Here is a 21,157-nt window from a genome sequence, read left to right as displayed (position 1 = left end):
TTCCTCGGTATATTGATATCCTTTCTTTTGGATACATACCCAGCAGTGGCATTGCTGGATTATATAGTAGTTCTATTTTTAATTTTTTTAGGAACTTTTCTACTGTTTTTCTATAATGGCTGTACTAATTTACATTTGGTCGTTTCAAAGAACGTGTTTTTGGTTTGTTTATCCCTTCTGCAGTTTATTTCTGTTTCTTCTTAATTTTCACTTTTATTTCCTTCTTTTTCCTACTTTCAGGATTTAAGGAATATTTTAGATCCTTTCCACTCTTTCATTGACTGAATACTTACTTTGTTTATTTTGATTTTTACAAAATCAGAAAATCATTTTAGACATGGGAGGGTGTATGTGTCGAGGAATTTGTCCATTTCTTCTAGATTTTCTAGTTTATTTGCGTAGAGGTGTTTATAGTATTCTCTGATGGTAGTTTGTATTTCTGTGGGATCAGTGGTGATATCCCCTTTATCATTTTTTATTGTGTCTATTTGATTCTTCTCTCTTTTCTTCTTTATTAGTCTTGCTAGTGGTCTATCAATTTTGTTGTTCTTTTCAAAAAACCAGCTCCTGGATTCATTGATTTTTTGAAGGGTTTTTTGTGTCTCTATTTCCTTCAGTTCTGCTCTGATCTTAGTTATTTCTTGCATTCTGCTACCTTTTGAATGTATTTGCTCTTGCTTCTCTAGTTCTTTTAATTGTGATGTTAGGGTGTCAATTTAAGATCTTTCCTGCTTTCTCTTGTGGGCATTTAGTGCTATAAATTTCCCTCTACACACTGCTTTGAATGTGTCCCAGAGATTCTGGTATGTTGTGTCTTTGTTCTCATTGGTTTCAAAGAACATCTTTATTTCTGCCTTCATTTCGTTATGTACCCAGTAGTCATTCAGGAGCAGGTTGTTCAGTTTCCATGTAGTTGAGCGGTTTTGAGTGAGTTTCTTAATCCTGAGTTCTAGTTTGATTTCACTGTGGTCTGAGAGACAGTTTGTTATAATTTCTGTTCTTTTACATTTGCTGAGGAGTGCTTTACTATGTGGTCAATTTTGGAATAGGTGTGGTGCTGAGAAGAATGTATATTCTGTTGATTTGGGGTGGAGAGTTCTGTAGATGTCTATTAGGTCTGCTTGGTGCAGAGCTGAGTTCAATTCCTGGATATCCTTGTTAACTTTTTGTCTCGTTGATCTGTCTAATGTTGACAGTGGGGTGTTAAAGTCTCCCATTATTATTGTGTGGGAGTCTAAGTCTCTTTGTAGATCTCTAAGGACTTGTTTTATGAATCTGGGTACTCCTGTATTGGGTGCATATATATTTAGGAGAGTTAGCTCTTCTTGTTGAATTGATGCCCTTACCATTATGTAATGGCCTTCTTTGTCTCTTTTGATCTTTGTTGGTTTAAAGTCTGTTTTAACCAAGACTAGGATTGCAACCCCTGCCTTTTTTTGTTTTCCATTTGCTTGGTAGATCTTCCTCCATCCCTTTATTTTGAGCCTATGTGTGTCTCTGCATGTGAGATGGGTTTCCTGAATACAGCACACTGATGGGTCTTGACTCTTTATCCAATGTGCCAGTCTGTGTCTTTTAGTTGGAGCATTTAGCCAATTTACATTTAAGGTTAGTATTGTTATGTGTGAATCTGATCCTGTCATTATGATCTTAGCTGGTTATTTTGCTCGTTAGTTGATGCAGTTTCTTCCTAGCCTCGATGGTCTTTACAATTTGGCGTGCTTTTGCAGTGGCTGGTACAGGTTGTTCCTTTCTGTGTTTAGTGCTTCCTTCAGGAGCTCTTTTAGGGCAGGCCTGCTGGTGACAAAATCTCTCAGCATTTGCTTGTCTGTAAAGGATTTTATTTCTCCTTCACTTATGAAGCTTAGTTTGGCTGGATATGAAATTCTGGGTTGAAAATTATTTTCTTTAAGAATGTTCAATATTGACCCCCACTCTCTTCTGGCTTGTAGAGTTTCTGCCGAGAGATCCGCTGTTAGTCTGATGGGCTTCCTTTTGTGGGTGACCCGACCTTTCTCTCTGGTTGCCCTTAACATTTTTTCCTTCATTTCAACTTTGGTGAATCTGACAATTATGTGTCTTGGAGTTGCTCTTTTCGAGGAATATCTTTGTGGTGTTCTCTGTATTTCCTGAATTTGAATGTTGACCTGCCTTGCTAGATTGGGGAAGTTCTCCTGGATACTATCCTGCAGAGTGTTTTCCAACTTGGTTCCGTTCTCCCTGTCACTTTCAGGTACACCAATCAGACATAGATTTGGTCTTTTCACATAGTCCCATATTTCTTGGAGGCTTTGTTCGTTTACAGGCTCTAAAATTGAGGCAATAATTAATAGCCTACTAACCAAAAAAAGTCCAGGACCAGACGGATTCACAGCCAAATTCTACCAGAGGTACAAGGAGGAGCTGGTACCATTCCTTCTGAAACTATTCCAATCAATAGAAAAAGAGGGAATCCTCCCTAACTCATTTTATGAGGCAAGCATCATCCTGATACCAAAGCCTGGCAGAGACACCACAAAAAAAGAGAATTTTAGACCAATATCCCTGATGAACATTGATGCAAAAATCCTCAATAAAATACTGGCAAACCGAATCCAGCAGCACATCAAAAAGCTTATCCACCATGATCAAGTGGGCTTCATCCCTGGGTTGCAAGGCTGGTTCAACATATGCAAATCAATAAATGTAATCCAGCATATAAACAGAACCAATGACAAAAACCACATGATTATCTCAATAGATGCAGAAAAGGCCTTTGACAAAATTCAACAACCCTTCATGCTAAAAACTCTCAATAAATTACATACTGATGGGACGTATTTCAAAATAATAAGAGCTGTCTATGACAAACCCACAGCCGATATCATACCGAATGGGCAAAAACTGGAAGCATTCCCTTTGAAAACTGGCACAAGACAGGGATGCCCTCTGTCACCATTCCTATTCAACATAGTGTTGGAAGTTCTGGCCAGGGCAATCAGGCAGGGGAAGGAAATAAAGGGTATTCAATTAGGAAAAGAGGAAGTCAAATTGTCCCTGTTTGCAGATGACATGATTATATATCTAGAAAACCCCATCGTCTCAGGCCAAAATCTCCTTAAACTGATAAGCAACTTCAGCAAAGTCTCAGGATACAAAATCAATGTGCAAAAATCACAAGCATTCTTATACACCAATAATAGACAAACAGAGAGCCAAATCATGAGTGAACTCCCATTCACAATTGCTTCAAAGAGAATAAAATACCTAGGAATCCAACTTACAAGGGACGTGAAGGAACTCTTCAAGGACAACTACAAACCACTGCTCAATGAAATAAAAGAGGATACAAACAAGTGGAAGAACATTCCATGCTCATGGGTAGGAAGAATCAATATTGTGAAAATGGCCATACTGCCCAAGGTAATTTATAGATTCAATGCCATCCCCATCAAGCTACCAATGACTTTCTTCACATAATTGGAAAAAACTACTTTAAAGTTCATATGGAACCAAAAAAGAGCCCGCATTGCCAAGTCAATCCTAAGCCAAAAGAACAAAGCTGGAGCTATCACGCTACCTGACTTCAAACTATACTACAAGGCTACAGTAACCAAAACAGCATGATAGTGGTACCAAAACAGAGATATAAACCAATGGAACAGAACAGAGCCCTCAGAAATAATGATGCATATCTACAACCATCTGATCTTTGACAAACCTGAGAAAAACAAGCAATGGGGAAACAATTCCCTATTTAATAAATGGTGCTGGGAAAACTGGCTAGCCATATGGAGAAAGCTGAAACTGGATCCCTTCCTTACACCTTATACAAAAATTAATTCAAGATGGATTAAAGACTTAAATGTTAGACCTAAAACCATAAAAACCCCAGAAGAAAACCTAGGCAGTATCATTCGGGACATACGCATGGGCAAGGACTTCATGTCTAAAACACTAAAAGCAATGGCAACAAAAGCCAAAATTGACAAATGAGATCTAATGAAACTAAAGAGCTTCTGCACAGCAAAAGAAACTACCATCAGAGTGAACAGGCAACCTACAGAATGGGAGAAAATTTTTGCAATCTACTCATCTGACAAAGGCCTAATATCCAGAATCTACAATGAACTCAAACAAATTTACAAGAAAAAAACAAACAACCCCATCAACAAGTGGGTGAAGGATATGAACAGACACTTCTCAAAAGAAGACATTTATGCAGCCAAAAGACACATGAAAAAATGCTCATCATCACTGGCCATCAGAGAAATGCAGATCAAAACGACAATGAGGTACCATCTCACTCCAGTTGGAATGGCGATCATTAAAAAGTCAGGAAACAACAGGTGGTGGAGAGGATGTGGAGAAATAGGAACACTTTTACACTGTTGGTGGGACTGTAAACTAGTTCAACCATTGTGGAAGTCAGTGTGGTGATTCCTCAGGGATCTAGAACTAGAAATCCCATTTGACCCAGCCATCCCATTACTGGGTATATACCCAAAGGGTTATAAATCATGCTACTATAAAGACACATGCACACGTATGTTTATTGCGGCACTATTCACAATAGCAAAGACTTGGAACCAACCCAAATGTCCAACAATGATAGACTGGATTAAGAAAATGTGGCACATATGCACCATGGAATACTATGCAGCCATAAGAAACGATGAGTTCATGTCCTTTGTAGGAACATGGATGAAGCTGGAAACCATCATTCTCAGCAAACTATCTCAAGGACAAAAAACCAAACGCCGCACGTTCTCGCTCATAGGTAGGAATTGAACAATGAGAACACATGGACACAGGAAGGGGAACATCACACACTGGGGCCTGTTGTGGGGTTGGGGGAATGGAGAGGGAAAGCATTAGGAGATATACCTAATGTTAAATGACGAGTTAATGGGTGCAGCACACCAACATGGCACATGTATACATATGTAACAAACCTGTACATTGTGCACATGTGCCCTAAAACTTAAAGTATATTAAAAAAAGTGAAAAAAAAATCATTTTAGAGTATATTTTCCTTTGAATAAAGTCTCAACTGTATCTCAGAGGTTTTAATATAAAATTTCCTTTTTATTTATTTTTAGATATTTTATAACTTCAGTTATGGTTTCCTTTTGATCCAGGGTTTATTCAGAAGACTATTACACTGGGTACAGTGGCTCATTCCTGTAATCCTAGCATTTTGGGAGGCTGAGGTGGGAGGATCGTTTGAGCCCAGGAATTCAACACCAGCCTGGTAAACACAGGGAGACCTCGTGTCTACAAAAAATAACAATTAAAAAACAATTAGCCAGGTGTGGTGGCATGAGCCTGTGGCCCCAGATACTCAGGAGGCTAAGGTTGGAGGATTGCTTAAGCTTGAGAGATCAAGGCTGCAGTGAGCCATGATCATGATCATGCCACTACACTCCAGCCTGAGTGACAAAGCAAAACCTTGCCTCCAAAAAAAAAAAAAATAATAATAATAATAGAAGGCGATTCCTTCCAATATTTCAGATTAGGATTCTAGTAATATTATGATGTCTGTTTTTTGTTAAGTGAGCTGTCCTTTCTGTTGTGAAGCTTGTCAGATTTTTTTTTTATCCTGAAGTTTGGGAATTATACTAGTCAATATGTAGATGTGCATCTATGTATGCTCATCCTGCCTGGGACTTAGCAAGACCTTTTATTCTTTCCACAGTAAGTATATCCTTTTTTTCCCCTTAACCGAGTGTTTTGTTACTTATTTGTTACTATTTTCCATTTGATTTTTTCCTCCTTCTTAAACTTTTATAATCTATATATACATTTGCTGTTTGAATTATCTTTTGCCTCATTATGTCCTTTTCTTTATAATTTTGCTTTTGGTTACAAAATATTTTTTCCCTATGTCATGCTTTATTTAACGATTCTCCATTAACAGACTCTTAGCCCATGTTCATAATTCTTTTTTTGGCTCTCTATTCTGTGTTGTGCATTTTGTAGCTAAGTTTTTGTTCAAGTTTGTGACAAATTTCCTTAGTGAAATTCCTAGAAATTACTGGGTTAAAGGGAATGATTTTTTTTTTTTTTGTATTTCAAGATTTTTTATATGTCTTAGCAAATCTTTCTTACAGAAAAGTTTACTCATTTATACACTCAGTAAGGGTGTGTGTTTCTCATTTAAAAAATCATATATTTTTCTTTTTTAGGCTTTGAAATTTCTGAAAACCAGAAGAGGCAGGCTGCAATGACTGTGAGAAAAGTCCCTAAGCAAAAAGGTAAAGCTGCCCCACTCAGTCTCTGTGAAAGACTATGGAATCATAAGCTATATGCTTACATATTCTTAGGCCCATTTCTGTGCTGAGGTTTACTTGGGGGTGGTGGAGGAGTATCCAGGTCCCTAGGTGTCCTTGATGACAGGTAGCAAATGGTTTTAAATGCTTAAGGCTAAGGAGTGAATAGTATAGGGTATTGGTATCCAAAGATAGCTCATTGAGTATAGCAAAAAATATAACCTCTGTTCCTCTTTTTTTTTTTTTTACTTAAAAATAAGGGAAACTTTACTAACAATTTATAGATCAATGGACAACATGATCTTTATTTAATAAGTATAGTTTGGGCATGATGGCTCACGCCTGTAATCCCAGCACTTTGGGAGGCCGAGGCAGGCGGATCACAAGGTCAGGAGATTGAGACCAGCCTGGCCAACTTGGTGAAACCCCGCCTCTACTAAAAATACAAAAATCAGCTGAGTGCCTGTAGTCCCAGCTACTGGGGAGATTGAGGCAGGAGAATCGCTTGAACCTGGGAGGCGGAGGTTGCAGTGAGCCGAGATTGTGCCACTGCACTCCAGTCTGGCAACAGAGTGAGACTACATCTCAAAAAAAAAAAAAAAAAGTATAAAGATATTGCTCAGCTTTCTGTCACCGGTCTGGAGGCATGTGCCAAATCAGGAGACCCAAATCACAATAAAGAATCTCAAACTAAGCCAAGACAAAAGATTCAGATATTCTCTTTCTCTTAACTACAAGCCAAAGTACTTAAGAAAAAATACCTTGCAAATCAATTTAAATCTGAAGTTAAGCTTTAGTTTCTCTTTTCTCATGAACCAGAACAAAACTATCATGCTCAGCCAAACAAAGGGAAGGAACTACCTTCTGCTTATTGGAATACCTATTCAGTGTCAGTCACTTTATATGTTATTTCATTTCATCTTTATGGTAATCCTGAGAAGCTGGACACTATTAACTCTATTTCTCAGATGAGGTAGCTGAGGGTCTTTGAGTGAAGTAACTGAACTTAATTTGACTTGACTCAGAGTCCACTGCTTTCTCCTCTCCATCTCAGGGTCCTGATGAAGCCCCATGCTTGGAAAGAAGAGTTTGGTTTTCTGTCTTGCCTCAATTACTGACAGCTGCTTCTATTACTGATAGCCATGTTCACTGTCCCCAGGTGTGGGCAATCTTAATGAGACCTTACTTTCCCCAGGCCTTTCCTTCTGCTTTCTCAGTGGGCTTTGTGGTTCTGAATGAGTCACCATCCAAAATGATCAGATTCAAGTCTCCTGAAATTTCCAGCAGCCATGTAAAGCACTATTTTTTTTCCATTGAAGCTTCTTTTGATTGAGGCTGAATGCCTGTGAACATCTGATTTCCAGTTAAGCAGTGCACCTAGCTCCGCTGACTAGACATGCCTCCCCTTCAACTGCTTATTACTTCTTGCTCTTGGGAGGCCCTTATTGTCTCTTTTCCTCATCATGCGAATGTGATTCCCCTTATATAGGGAATGAGGCCAGCCTTAATTAGCCACCAAAAAGTTGGGAGTTAATTTAAGGTGGGGAATTAACTCCTAACCTTTTGATTGCTATAATAACATGTGAGAGATGGTGTTAGAAAGCAATCTGGAGTTAATGTCAGTAAGGATATGACCTGTATTAACAGAACTTGGTAAGATTTTGCTCCAGTTCCTCAGACAGAAATGTGAGCAGAAAAGAGCCCAGCCAACTGAAGTTTTCAGGCTGCAAAAGGGATACTGTCCTAACAGCTTGTCTCCTGGACGCTCTCAACTCCTGAACTTTCTCACTCTGATTTCCTCTACTTCCCCCACTGTATTCTTCAGCGTTCTCTAGAGGGACAGAACTAATAGGAGACATATATATATATATGAGTTTATATGAGTTTATTAAGGAGTATTAACTCACACAATCGCCAGGTCCCACAATAGGCCATCTGCAAGCTGAGGAGCAAGGAAGTCAGTCCGAGTCTCAAAGCTGAAGAATTTGGAGTCTGATGTTTGAGGGCAGGAAGCATCCAGCATGGAAGAAAGGTGTAGGCTTGGAGGCTAAGCCAGTCTAGTGTTTCTAGGTTCTTCTGCCTGCTTTTTATTCTGGCCATGCTGGCAGCTGTTTAAATGGTGCCCATCCAGATTGAGCATGGGTCTGCCTCTCCCAGTCCACTGACTCAAATGTTAATCTCTAGCAACACCCTCACAGACACACCCAGCAACAATACTTTGCATCCTTCAATCCAGTCAAGTTGACACTATTAACCATCACATCCACCATACTGACCTTTATGGTACTCCTTTATCCAAGCCTGGGTTCCTCAAGCATATCTGAGACTGAATTGTCTTTTCACTGAGAACACTTCAAACAAAGGAATATCTATAAAGCAACCAGGAGTTGGTTAACCAGAAGATAGCCCTGCTAACTCATGCCAAGCATTTTGGTCAAGGTCCTTCCCCACCCTATGTATCTCCAGGCCATTCCTTTTAGGGCCTTTCTTGTCTCCCAGTGTCTAAATACTGATTCACTTGAACAGTTTTCTTTCTTTAACAGCAATTCTAAAGTCTTCAAAGAAATTCATTTAGTTTCTGTCTTTCTTTCTTTTTTTTTTTTTTTTTCCCTGAGATGGAGTTTCACTCTCATCGTGCAGGCTGGAGTGCAATGGTGTGATCTTAGCTCACTGCAACCTCTGCCTCCTGGTTTCAAGCGATTCTCCTGCCTCACCCTCCCGAGTAGCTGGGATTACAGGCACCTGCCACCACACCCGACTAATGTTTGTATTTTTAGTAGAGACGGGGTTTCACCATGTTGGCCAGGCTGATCTTGAACTCCTGACCTCAGGTGATCCCCTCGCCTCGTCCTCCCAAAGTTCTGGGATTACAGATGTGAGCCACTGCGCCCAGCTTCATTTAGTTTCAAACCTCCCAGGATTACTACAAATCTCCTCCCTTATTTCTATTTTTGGTCTTCAAGACTCCTAGTCCAGGGCTGTAGTAACTGATATGTTTTGAGACTCAAGAGTGCCATACATGTGGAAGTGGTTCTCAAATGTAGGAATTCAGTAGTTACAATATGTACATGGGAAGAGCAAGAAGGGATTATTTAAGATAACCATGAAAGCTGGCTTCCTTGAGCTTTTCAATGACCCATCACAGGAAGTGAGGGGCATTGTTAAGAGGTCTCCAATGCGGATGTCATTAGATAGGTAACTACTCTAATGTCCCTTTCCAACACCATCTGTAACACTGGGACATTATCAACTCAGTCTACTGCTCTGGGAGAGGGGGAACCTGGCTGAAATAACAGTAGAGAATACCAGATCTAGCTCCAAGAAAGGCCTTTTCACTTGACCTTTGTCTTTCACGCTGCTTTCATTTTAAGTATTGATATATAACTTCTTGAAAGTTTTATGCTAATTCCTGGTACATAAACCTAATTAACTAGATCAGTATAGAGCTCCCCATGGCTATGAGCACAGACTCCATCTCCAGAGGCCTTGGGGCCAGCACAAAATCAAATGAGTGCCCTAGAATAGCAAAAATGATCTCGAAAAAGAATAAAATGTGAGTAATCAATCTACCCAGTTTCAACACTCATTATATAGTTACAGTAACCAAGACAGCGTAATTTTGGCAGAAGGGTGGACATATCAGATCAATGCCACAGAACCCAGAAATAAATGTACACAAATATGCCCAATTGATTTTTAAATTTATTTTGTATTGATATGTAATAATTGTAAATCTTTACTGAGTACATGTGATATTTTGATATGCATACAATGTGTAATGATCAAATTAGGGTAATTAGGATATCTATCACCTTAAACGTGTATCATTTTTTTGTGTTGGGAACATTTCAAGTCTTCTGTTTTATGTATTTTGAAATATGCAATAAATTATTGTTAACTACTGTTACCCTGCTGTGCTACTGAACACTAGAACTTATTCCATCTATCAAACTGTATTTTTGAATCCATTAACCAACCTCTCTTCATTTCCCTAACACCATCCTTCCAAGCCTCTAGTAACCATCATTGTACTCTCTACCTCCATGGAATCCACTTTTTTAGCTCCTACATTTGAGTGAGATCATTTGATATTTGTCTTTCTGTGCCTGGCTTATTTCACTTAACATTATGAGCTCCAGTTCCATCCATGTTGCTGAAAATGATAGGATTTCATTCTTTTTGTGGCTGAATAATATTCCACTGTGTATGTATACTACATTCTCTTCATCCATTCATCTATTGACAGATACTTTGGTTGATTCCATATCTTGGTTATTGTGAATAGTGCTGTGATAAACATAGGAGTGCAAATATCTCTTCAACGTACTGATTTCCTTTATTTTAGATATATACCCAGAAGAGATTGTGATTATAAAAGTGTAACAACAGGGATCCTTGTGATGATGGAAATGTTCTATATCTTGACTGTATCCTGTTATAATGTCAATATCCTGGCTGTGATATTGTACTATTGTACTATTGTTTTGCAAAATGTTACCATTGGGAAAACTGGGTAAAGAGTACACAGGATCTCTATTATTTCTTAAAACTGCATGTGAATCTGTAATGATTTCAAATAAATGCTTTTAAAAAAAATCAAATTAGTAACAAAATTCCCTCTCTAATATCTGCGTATTGTCTGTTGGCATTCAGTACCCTCATACTTCTGACACTTACCACCTTGCAAAACTAGCTCTTAGAAAAGATTCTGATCTTTCTCACTGAAGTGCCAGTGGCTGATGATGGCTTAAATGATACTACTTCCAGGCAAAGGGACTTAGTCATCAAGCAAAGGCAAAAAAAGTAACTGTAATGTTGGAATTTCAGACCCTGAGTAGCAGATGAGGAAGGTATTTGGGAGCAGCAGAGAAGCCTTCCTGACATGTCTGAATTATATGCTGTATGTCTTGTCCTATTCTGCTCTGAATGTAGATCAGGATTAAACTTTCACTTTAGGCCTCCAGGTTCCTGGAATCCTCCATTAATGTGGATTTTGCTTTGATGGTTGCAAACCTACCTACAAATGTTGAGAAGGTTTTTAATATTAGTATCATTTAAGCTATTCCGTTTGAAAAGACACACACATATTCCGTCTTCCTTGCTCCCCATGAATTATACCTTCTGGTAGTAAGTTTACTTTCTCCTTCACCTACTAATGTCAATTCTCTATTAAGTGCAGGTTCATCACTCTCAACCCAGGACAGAACACTAAATCACTTGCACCTTATGCTTTTAGAAAATTTCTCCTAGAAACCTGTCCTGAAGTCAATAGTTCTTAACCAGGCTCTTTTAAAACTTCCAGGGGGGACTGGAGAAGGCGAAATAGAGTTTGTTGGGTTCTTTGCAGGACCAACCCCTGCATAAGGGATTCTGGTGTCTTGGAAAGAGCTCTGAACTGAGTAGTCAAAGAATGTAGGTTCTAACCCTTGCTTTGTCGCTAACTTACCATGTGACCTTGGGTATAACATTTCTTTTCAGATATCAGTGTTCTCACCTGTAAAACAGATTATAGCAATACCCCAAATTTCTTTGATACCTGACTAGATGTGGAAGTGTGTAGGGTTGCAATAGTAGCCATGGTATTCCAAAATCTGTTTGAAAGAGGAATTCTCCCCTTGGATGATTTGTAAAACCAGTTCACACTCTCTAAACCAGTCTGCCTTGAGTTGTCTGCCCAGAGTGGTCACTGGGTAATTTGAGAAGCCCTTTGTTACATAACTTATACCCTTTCCCTTTGATCTCTCATCTACTCTAGGTGTCAACTCTGCCCGCTCAGTTCCTCCTTCCTACCCACCACCGCAGGACCCGTTAAACCACGGCCAGTACCTGGTCCCCGACGGCATCGCTCAGTCGCAGGTCTTTGAGTTCACCGAACCCAAGCGCAGCCAGTCACCATTCTGGCAAAACTTCAGCAGGTTAACCCCCTTCAAAAAATGATACCTACAGGGAGGCAGATAATTTTAAAATAAAGTAAATAAAATTATATTTATAGATGGACCTTTTTTCGGAGAAGCACTGTTGAAATTTATACACACACACACACACAGAGACCCTTGAGTACACATACACACACACACACACAGACACACACACACACACACACACACACACACACACAGAGAGATAAGGAACAAAAGTGTTTTCTGTTGTTTTGGGGAAGTGAAATATGTGGTTGGTAGGAAGAGGTACCAATGACTTCCAAACATGTGATTCCGTCTTAAAAGTTTTCCATTTTTACCCTGTCCCCCTTCCCTTTGCTTTCAGAAGTTGACATTTCTATTCATTGCTTTTCTTGTTAAGATAATCTCTTTACTCCCCTGTGAGTGATTCACTGCCTTGTCATTATTACGATAGATGTGTTTGTATTGTTTTTTTTCTGATGATACTGATGTTGATGAATTTTTAATTTTATTTGATGTGGTAGAGTTGGGAGGTTTCAGGGTTTTTTCCCCTCTTTTACTTTCCATTGAGGAAGGGAATGAGCTCCTTTCTCCTCTCCTTCAGCCAATCATTATCAAATGTTCCTTCAGCCCTGCAGTTGCCCCAAATAACCTTTTTTCAGCATCCTCTGTCCTCAGTCATGCCAGTCTGGACATGCTCTGTTGTGCCCTGTGACAAAACTGCTCAGTATTCCTATTGCTTTTACTGTGTTTTAGGTACTGTGAAGGGATCAAAAAACCAAACAGAAGCAAGGGAGTATCAGACTATGATGATGCTGGAGTGGACTTCTGTTCAGGGAACATTTTGCATTCAGGCTGTTTCTTCTATCACTGGGGTTTCCCATGTTGCAGCACTTCTGGGTCGTTGCAATTTTGCATCTAGGAGTTAGTTTGATCGAGTTATTCTCTTTTTTCAAGTCACTTTTGTTATAGGTCTCCCCCTAGGCCTGTCTCTCCCTTAGCCCAAAAGATCTGAACTGGAAGCAGAGGTTGAGATTCTGCCTCCCAGGAGAGGGATTTACCTGCCCCCTAGTACCAGATAGGTTTAGGGCAGTGATCTCTACAGCAATCAGTTCAGTGTCCTGGTTGTCCCTGCTCCCATTTACAGATGTTTGGGCAGCATTGATAGAAGTATGGAGGGGTTCAAGACAGAGCCCACCTGATCAAGATCATCAGCTACCTTCAAATTATTGACCTGGACAGGGTCCAAGTCTGATAGTAACCTTTTACAAGAAAGAACAGGGATGGGAATGGAAAGAGATAGCCTTGATCCACAGTATTGTACCTGCATTTTCTACCACCCTAAAATTGTGTGAGACTTCTCCCATTGTTAACAGATTGCATGGACAATCTTCCCTGGCTTCTTTCTTTCCCTCTCTCTTTCTTCTTTCTCCTGCCATCCTAGCACAGGAGGATTTTTGGTATTGATATAGTTAAAGCTGTTCTGGCACTCAAAGAAGGCCGTGTTTCCAACATCCTCTCATCCCAGGACATTTGGGGCAAGTGAGTTAGGGGCCCAGGGGCAATTTTCCCTCTGAATAACGTGTCTGAGGCAGGGATGCTACCCTCAGGCTCGCTTTTGGCCAGCTTTTTGCTTGGGAAAATCTAACTTCTTTCACAAGGAGGCAGGCTTCCTATGGATGTTGGAGTACCTGTTTTTCCTCCACACATAGCCCTTTTCATGGATAGACCTTGAACAACAAAAAGGGTATAAGGGAATAAGGATGAACTCTGCTGTGAAGAGCAAGCCACTGTAGTGAGGAATGTGGAGACTGGGAGTCTGTCCTAAACCCCATGGGAGAAGACTTCATCATGACAGGACTTCAGCTTACCAAGCAGCAGCCATAGCTGTGTGGAGGCTTCAGCATAGCTAGCATGTTTACTGCTCTATGCCTCCTGATCCAGACCAGGCATTGCCCAGCCTGGGAATCTTTTCTTTGTGGGAATCAAATTACAAGCTATTTAAGTTTATATTCCATCACAACCAAGTCAGACTTGTATTATAAGTCAAGGATGAGCCTGATCTGGGGAGAGGGCCGGGGCTCGGGACTGGCCACCACTGTTCAGCACATGACCTAACTACGTAAGCCTCTTTGGCAAGGGTCCTGGTGCCCAGCACCCAGGCTAAAATATCCTGTCTGGCAGAGTGTTTTGGTAGCTATGCAGGCCTCCCTTCAGTGTACCTCTTTTTCCAACTTCTCACTCCTCCTTACTAGGCTTGGCCTTGACATGCTTCTTCGAGGGTTGGCAGCACACCGGGAGGGGATGCTTGGACAAGTTTCTGGGCCTACATTTCTTGACTAGGCCCTCTCATTTCCTCCCTCCTTGGGGCTTCTGCCCAGGGCTCCAGGATCAGGGATATTACTTCTCAACCCGCACTTCTCCTCTACTGAACCCACTGGCATCACCTGATGCCACTAATTTGTGAACAACAAGAAATCATTTCCCCATTGGTTGGAGTATTCCCTCAGCCTATAGCATCAAAGCAGACCAGTGGCCAACAGCCCCAAGGGGAGCCCAATTAAATACCTGGGTTCAGTATCCTAACCTGTTATGTCCTGACAGCAATGGTAACCCCAGTAATTCTGTAATGTTGTAATTTCCGCATGGCCCTGAGCTCCCTTTTCCTCAACTCAGTGAGGCCAGGATTTGCTCTCCAAAAGGCTTTGCTAGTGTGTTCAATGGGACCTGCTGTGGGGAGTCCTAAGACAGACATCTAATTATTCTCTCTTTTTCCCCCCCTCTCTATGTGTATATTTCTAATGGATCTATAAGAACAGCAACAAGAGAGTTCTAACAATTCTAGTGTGAAGCCAAATAGTGATCTTTTAGTGCTTTGGGGATGGGGTGGGCTGGGGTGGATGGATGGGCAACAGTGACTTTGATTACCCTTGCTGCTCTGCATTTGCCAGTTTATTCTTTTGTTTCTTTTATCTGACTGACTCTGTCAAACAAGTGTCAAAGTTGTGTGTTAAAAAATGTTTAACAAAAAAAATGTTGTAATGACACAAAGCCTTATGAAAATATTTATGGAGTTCAATAAAAGAAGTAAAAAGACACCTCCTGGCATAGCTCTCGTTCGTGTGTGTGTGTGTGTGTGTGTGTGTGTGTGTGTGTTTTGCCAATTGTGAAATAAAGGGAATTTGCCTGGTGTGGGGCAGCTTACCCCAACCCAGCCTTGACCTGCCCACCCTGCTGTTCTATTCCCAGGCATCCTATGGGCCACCTATGGCCTTGCATGTGTTTTCTGGAAGAGTGGACCACAAGGACTATGTTTGATCCTGTAGCCAGGGGCAGTCAAATGTCTTTATGGATGGGACTGTCCTTCATGTCACCCAGCCCTTTGACAAGACTTAAAGGTCCATTTCTGACCTTGCTCTTTTTCCTTATAGCAGCAAGTCCAGTACTGGCCCTGGGCCCTCATGGAAGCTTAAAGGCTGCCTTTTGAACCCATCCAGAGACCATATGACTTAGGAATTTGCAACTCTCAGTTCCTTCCTAAAGCCTTTGGTCCTGTCTCTTCAGAGGTAGTTATCTTCCTTATCTATTCCTCAGAGTGGGTGGAGTGACCTTACTATTTCTTCCATCATGGTGTCACCTGGATGTAGATGTTCCTTGCTGTCAGTAGGCCTCTATGTGGTATCTGATGCTCCCTGTGGGAAACCCAATAGAGGTTGCTTTCTGGCATTGCCTTACCTGCCTTTCTTCAGAGCAACTAAACACTCCAATTAAATGCTTATTTACTAAAAGGATCCAGATAATTATTCCAATCTGTAGAGTTGGAAGGGGGAGCAGATGTTGGGCCTCTGGATTAGAATGTGAGCCCTGTCTGTCTTGGCCTGCAGGATCCTCCCACCACCACCCCCAGGATTTGATTTGAAGAAAGTGATAATTAAACCCTCCTCTCGTTTACTAACTTTTCCCCTTTCTCCATTTCTTGGCTCTCCTTATTTAACCCCTTCCTCTGCTATCACCATCATTTCCCTTTTCCCTAGAGTCTGCCATCTCTCCCCACCAAAATCAGCAGGACTTAGCTCTCAGCAGTCGCTTCTGCATCTTGCCAATTCCTAGCTTCCCCAATTTCTGGAAATAAATCTCACTTACCTCCTGCAGAGAGCAAGAGGGCAGCATCGGGTCTCAGTCTTCCCTGACTACTTTCCAAGGGCACTAGAAGTGGGGAGACAAATGGTGGGGGTCTTACACTCTAAGATAAACTTGGTTCTCTCTTACGGTACCTAAAATGAAACACCCATTATCACCATAAGAATCATTTCTGAACACCCCCTGTGATGGTTAATACTGATTGTGAACTTGATTCGATTGAATGATACAAAGTATTGATCCTGGTGTGTCTGTGTCAGTGTTGCCAAAAGAAATTAACATTTGAGTCAGTGGACTGGAAAAGACAGACCTACCCTTAATCTGGGTGGGCACAATCTAATAAGCCGCCAGCATGGCTAGAATATAAGCAGGCAGAAAAATGTGAAAAGAGAGGCTGGCCTAGCCTCCCAGGCTACATCTTTCTCTCATACTGTATGCTTCCTGCCCTCGAACATCAGACTCCAAGTTCTTCAGTTTTGGGACTCGGACTGGCTCTCCTTACTCCTCAGCTTGCAGACAGCCTATTGTGGGACCTTGTGATCATGTAAGTTAATCTTTAATAAACTCCCCTTTACATATATATATATATGTGTGTGTGTGTGTGTATATGTGTGTGTATATATACGTGTGTATATATATGTGTGTGTGTATATATATATATATATACACACACACATCCTACTAGTTCTGTCCCTCTAGAGAACCATGACTAATACAAATTTTGGTAACGGGAGTGGTTCTAGAGGAACACAATATTAAGGATAGAGTTCTTTCCTTGGTTTTGGGGTTTCTGGAGTTGACTGCTTAATATGATTAGGCCCAAAAATGCTAAGGACTGTACTTCTAATAGTATGGAGAACACTGATAGTCCTTGATGTGAACTGTTTAGAGAGTAATGTAAAATAAATGCATTTGATACTCCTGATTCACCGCTCATGAGAGGCAAGGAGTGGACAAAGTGATGAAAGAAAATGATGAACTCAATGGATTCTGTCTCCCAGCTTCAGAAGCAAATACTGAGCCTCCAATCTGCTAAGATTGCCCTTAGTGAGAGTCTTATCTACTCTAGAGAAAGAGTTGAAATAGGAGAAAAACAGACACAAGCTCTTATCATGCATGTGGCTGACCTGCAATGAAAGGTGCATGCACAGCCTCGCCAGGTGTCTGCTGTTAAAGTGAGGACATTGATTGGAAAAGAATGGGACCCTGGAACTTGGAATGGAGACATTTGGGAGGATGCTGATGAACCTGAGGACACTGAGTTTGTAAACTCTGATGAACCTTTTTGCCAGAAGGAACAGCTTCCCCATCCCCAGTAATGGCAACATCCCCTCCTTGACCCATGCTGCCATCAGCCTTTCCACCTTTGTCTGAGGAAATAAACCCTGCATTGCCTAAGGCCACAGTGATGGCCTCCCCTGAGGCAGTTGACAGGACAGATAATGTTGATTTTCCTCAGGAGCAACCCACAACATCCCTGTTTGCTTCTAGACCTATAACTAGAGTAAAGTCCTGGTGGGCCTCTAGAGGTGAGGTTGAGAGTGTGACCCATGAGAAAGTGGGCTACACTCCAAAAGAACTGCTTGAGTTCTCTAATTTATATAAGCAAATCTGGAGAACAGGTATGGGAATGGATATTAAGAGTATGGGATAATGGTGGAAGGAACATAGAGTTGGATCAGGCTGAATTTACTGATTTGACCCATTAAATAGGGACTCTGCTTTTAGTGTTGCAGCTTGGGGAGTTAAAAAAAAAGATTCTAATAGTTTATTTGCTTGATTAGCTGAAATATGGATTAAAAGGTGGCCCATGGTGAGCGAGCTGGAAGTGCCTGATCTCCCTTGGTTTAATATAGAGGAAGGGATCCAAAGGCTTAGGGAGACTGGGATGGTGGACTGGATTAGTCACTTTAGACCTACTCATCCCAGCTGGGAGGGTCCAGAAGATGTACCCTTGACCAATGCCTTGCAAAATAGATTTGTGAGGGCAGCACTTGCATCTTTGAAGAGCCCTATAATTGCTCTTCTCTGTATGTCAGATTTAACAGTCGGAACCATGGTCACTGAACTACAAAATTTAAATACAATGGGAATAATTGGATCTCGAGGTGGCAGATGCCAAGTGTTGGCACTCAATTATCAATGAATGGCAAGGTGGGCATAGCTACCATAACGGACAGCAGAGACAGAAGCAGCAATCAGAATAGTCTGACTCATGTAGAGCTCTGGCATTGGCTAATTAATCACGGCATTCCTAGAAGTGAAATTGGTAGGAAGCCTACTGCATTCTTCCTTAATTTGTATAAGGAGAAAGCTTCTAGGTAGAATGGACAAAAGACAAATTTGAATTATAAAAACAGAATCATGACAACCTCAATCATTTTCCATACTTGACCCAGTTTACAGACCCAAAACCCTTTGAATGAAGGTAAGGCCAGGTGCCCTTGAGGAAGGACCCCACTACATTACTGACAACTTATGCAGTGAATCTTCCTCTCATCCTTCCCCAAGGAGACCTCTGACCTTTTACCAGGGTAACTGTACATTGGGAAAAGGGAAATTATCAGACTTTCAGGGACTACTGGATGCTGGTTCTGAGCCGACATTGATTCCAGGGGATCTGAAACGTCATTGTGGTTCTCCAGTTAAAGTAGGGGCTTATGGAGGTCAGGTAATTAATGGAGTTTTAGTTCGGGTCTGACTTACAGTGAGTCTAGTGGGTCCCTAGACTTATCCTTTGTTCATTTCCCCAGTGCCCGAATGCAAAATTGGCATAGACATACTTAGCAGCTGGCAGAAACCCCACATTGGCTCCCTGACTGGTACAGTTAGGGCTATGATGGTGAGAAAGGCCAAACGGAAGCCATTTGAGCTGCCTCTACCTAGGAAAATTCTAAATTAAAAAAAAGTACATCCCTAGAGGAATTGTGAAGATTAGTGCCACCATCAAGGACTTGAAATACACAGGGGTGCTAACTTCCACTACATCCCCGTTCAACTCTCCCATTTGCTCTGTGCAGAAGACAGATGGGTCTTGGAGAGTGAAATGAAACACCCCTTATCACCATAAGAGTCATTTCTGAACACCCCCTGTAATGGTTAATACTGAGTGTCAACTTGATTAGATTGAATGATACAAAGTATTGATCCTGGGTGTGTCTGTATGGGTGTTCCCAAAAGAAATTAACAGTGGATTATTGTAAGCTTAGCCAATGGCAGTGGATTATTGTAAGCTTAACCAAGTGGTTACTCCAATTGCAGCTGCTGGACTAGATGTGGTTTCATTGCTTGAGCAAATTAACACATCTCCTGGTACCTGATAGCAGCCATTGACTTGGTGAATGCCTTTTTCTCCATTGCTGTGCATAAGGTGCTACCAGAAGCAATTTGCCTTCATCTGGCAAGGCCAGCAATATACCTTTACTGTATTAGCTCAGGGGTATATCAACTCTCTCCGGCTTTGTGTCATAATCTTACTCAGAGAGACCTTGATTGCTTTTGGCTTCTGCAAGATAACACACTAGTCCATTACATTGATGACATTATGCTGATTCGATCCAGTGAACAAGAAGCAGCAAACACACTGGACTTATTGGTGAGACATTTTTGTGCCACAGGATGGGAAATAAATCCAACTAAAACTCAGGGACCTTCTACCTCAGTAAAATTTCTAGGGTTCCAGTGGTGTGGGGCCTGTCAAGATATTCCTTCAAAGGTGAAGGATAAGTTACTGCATTTGGCGCCTCTTGCATCTAAGAAAGAGACACAACGCCTAGTGGGCCTATTTGAATTTTGGAGACAACACAGTCCTCATTTGCGTATGTTACTCCAGCTCATTTATCAAGTGACCCGAAAGGCTGCCAGATTTGAGTGGGGTCCAGAATAGAACAAGGCTCTGCATCATGTCCAGGCTGCTGTGCTAGCTGCTCTGCCACTTGGGCCATATGACCCAGCAGATCCAATGGTGCTTGAGGTGTCAGTGGCAGATAGGGATGCTGTTTGGAGCCTCTGGCAGGCCCCCATAGGTGAATCACAGTGGAGGCCTCTAGGATTTTGGAGAAAGGCCCTGCCATCTTCAGCAGATAACTACTCTCCTTTTTAAAGACAGCTCTTGGCTTGTTACTGGGCTGTGGTTGAAACTGAACGTTTGACTATGGGTCATCAAGTCACCATGTGACCTGAACTGCCTATCATGAACTGGGTGCTTTCGACCTATCTAGCCATTAGGTGGGTCCTGCACAGCAGCATTCCATCATCAAATGGAAGTGGTATATACATGACAGGCTTGAGCAGGTCCTGAAGGCACAAATAAGTTACATGAGGAATTAGCGCAAATTACCCATGGTCTCCACTCCTGCCACCCTGCCTTCTCTACTCCAGCCTGCACTGATGGCCTCATGGCAAGTTCCCTATGATCAGTTGACAAAGGAAGAGAAGACTAGGGCCCGGTTCACAGATGGATCTACACAATGTGAAGGCACCACCCAAAAGTGGATAGCTGCAGCATTACAGCCCCTTTCTAGGACCTGCCTGAAGGACAGGTGAAGGGAAATGTTCCCAATGGGCAGAACTTTGACCACTGCACCTGGTTGTGCACTTTGCATGGAAGGGGAAATGGACAGATGTGTGATTATATGCTGATTCATGGGCTGTAGCCAATGGTTTGGCTGGATAGTCAGGGACTTGGAAAAAGCATGATTGGAAAATTGGTGGCAAACAAATTTGGGGAAGAGGTATGTTGATGGACCTCTCTGAATGGCCAAAACTGTGAAGATAACTGTATCCCATGTGAGTGTTCACCAACGGGTGAGCTCAGCAGAGGAGGATTTTAATAATCAAGTGGATAGGATGAGCCGTTCTGTGGAT

At 41.5% G+C, this 21,157-nt stretch overlaps 1 protein-coding gene across 27 annotated transcripts in view; it reads left to right on the top strand.

Moving 5' to 3' along the window:
* The window catches only part of ARHGEF9 (Cdc42 guanine nucleotide exchange factor 9), a 150,248-nt gene extending 134,999 nt beyond the window's left edge, over positions 1-15,249 (top strand). For all 27 annotated transcript variants that reach the window (NM_001173479.2, NM_001353922.2, NM_001353921.2 and 24 more), the window contains 2 exons: positions 6,168-6,236; positions 12,007-15,249. In NM_001173479.2, the coding sequence (NP_001166950.1) occupies positions 6,168-6,236; positions 12,007-12,188 (251 nt within the window). In that variant the 3' untranslated portion in view covers positions 12,189-15,249. The remainder of the gene's footprint in view (positions 1-6,167; positions 6,237-12,006) is intronic.

This window comes from Homo sapiens, chromosome X (genome assembly GCF_000001405.40).
Source record: "Homo sapiens chromosome X, GRCh38.p14 Primary Assembly".
Taxonomy (NCBI): Eukaryota; Metazoa; Chordata; class Mammalia; order Primates; family Hominidae; genus Homo; species Homo sapiens.
This window is presented reverse-complemented; position numbering and strand designations above follow the sequence as displayed.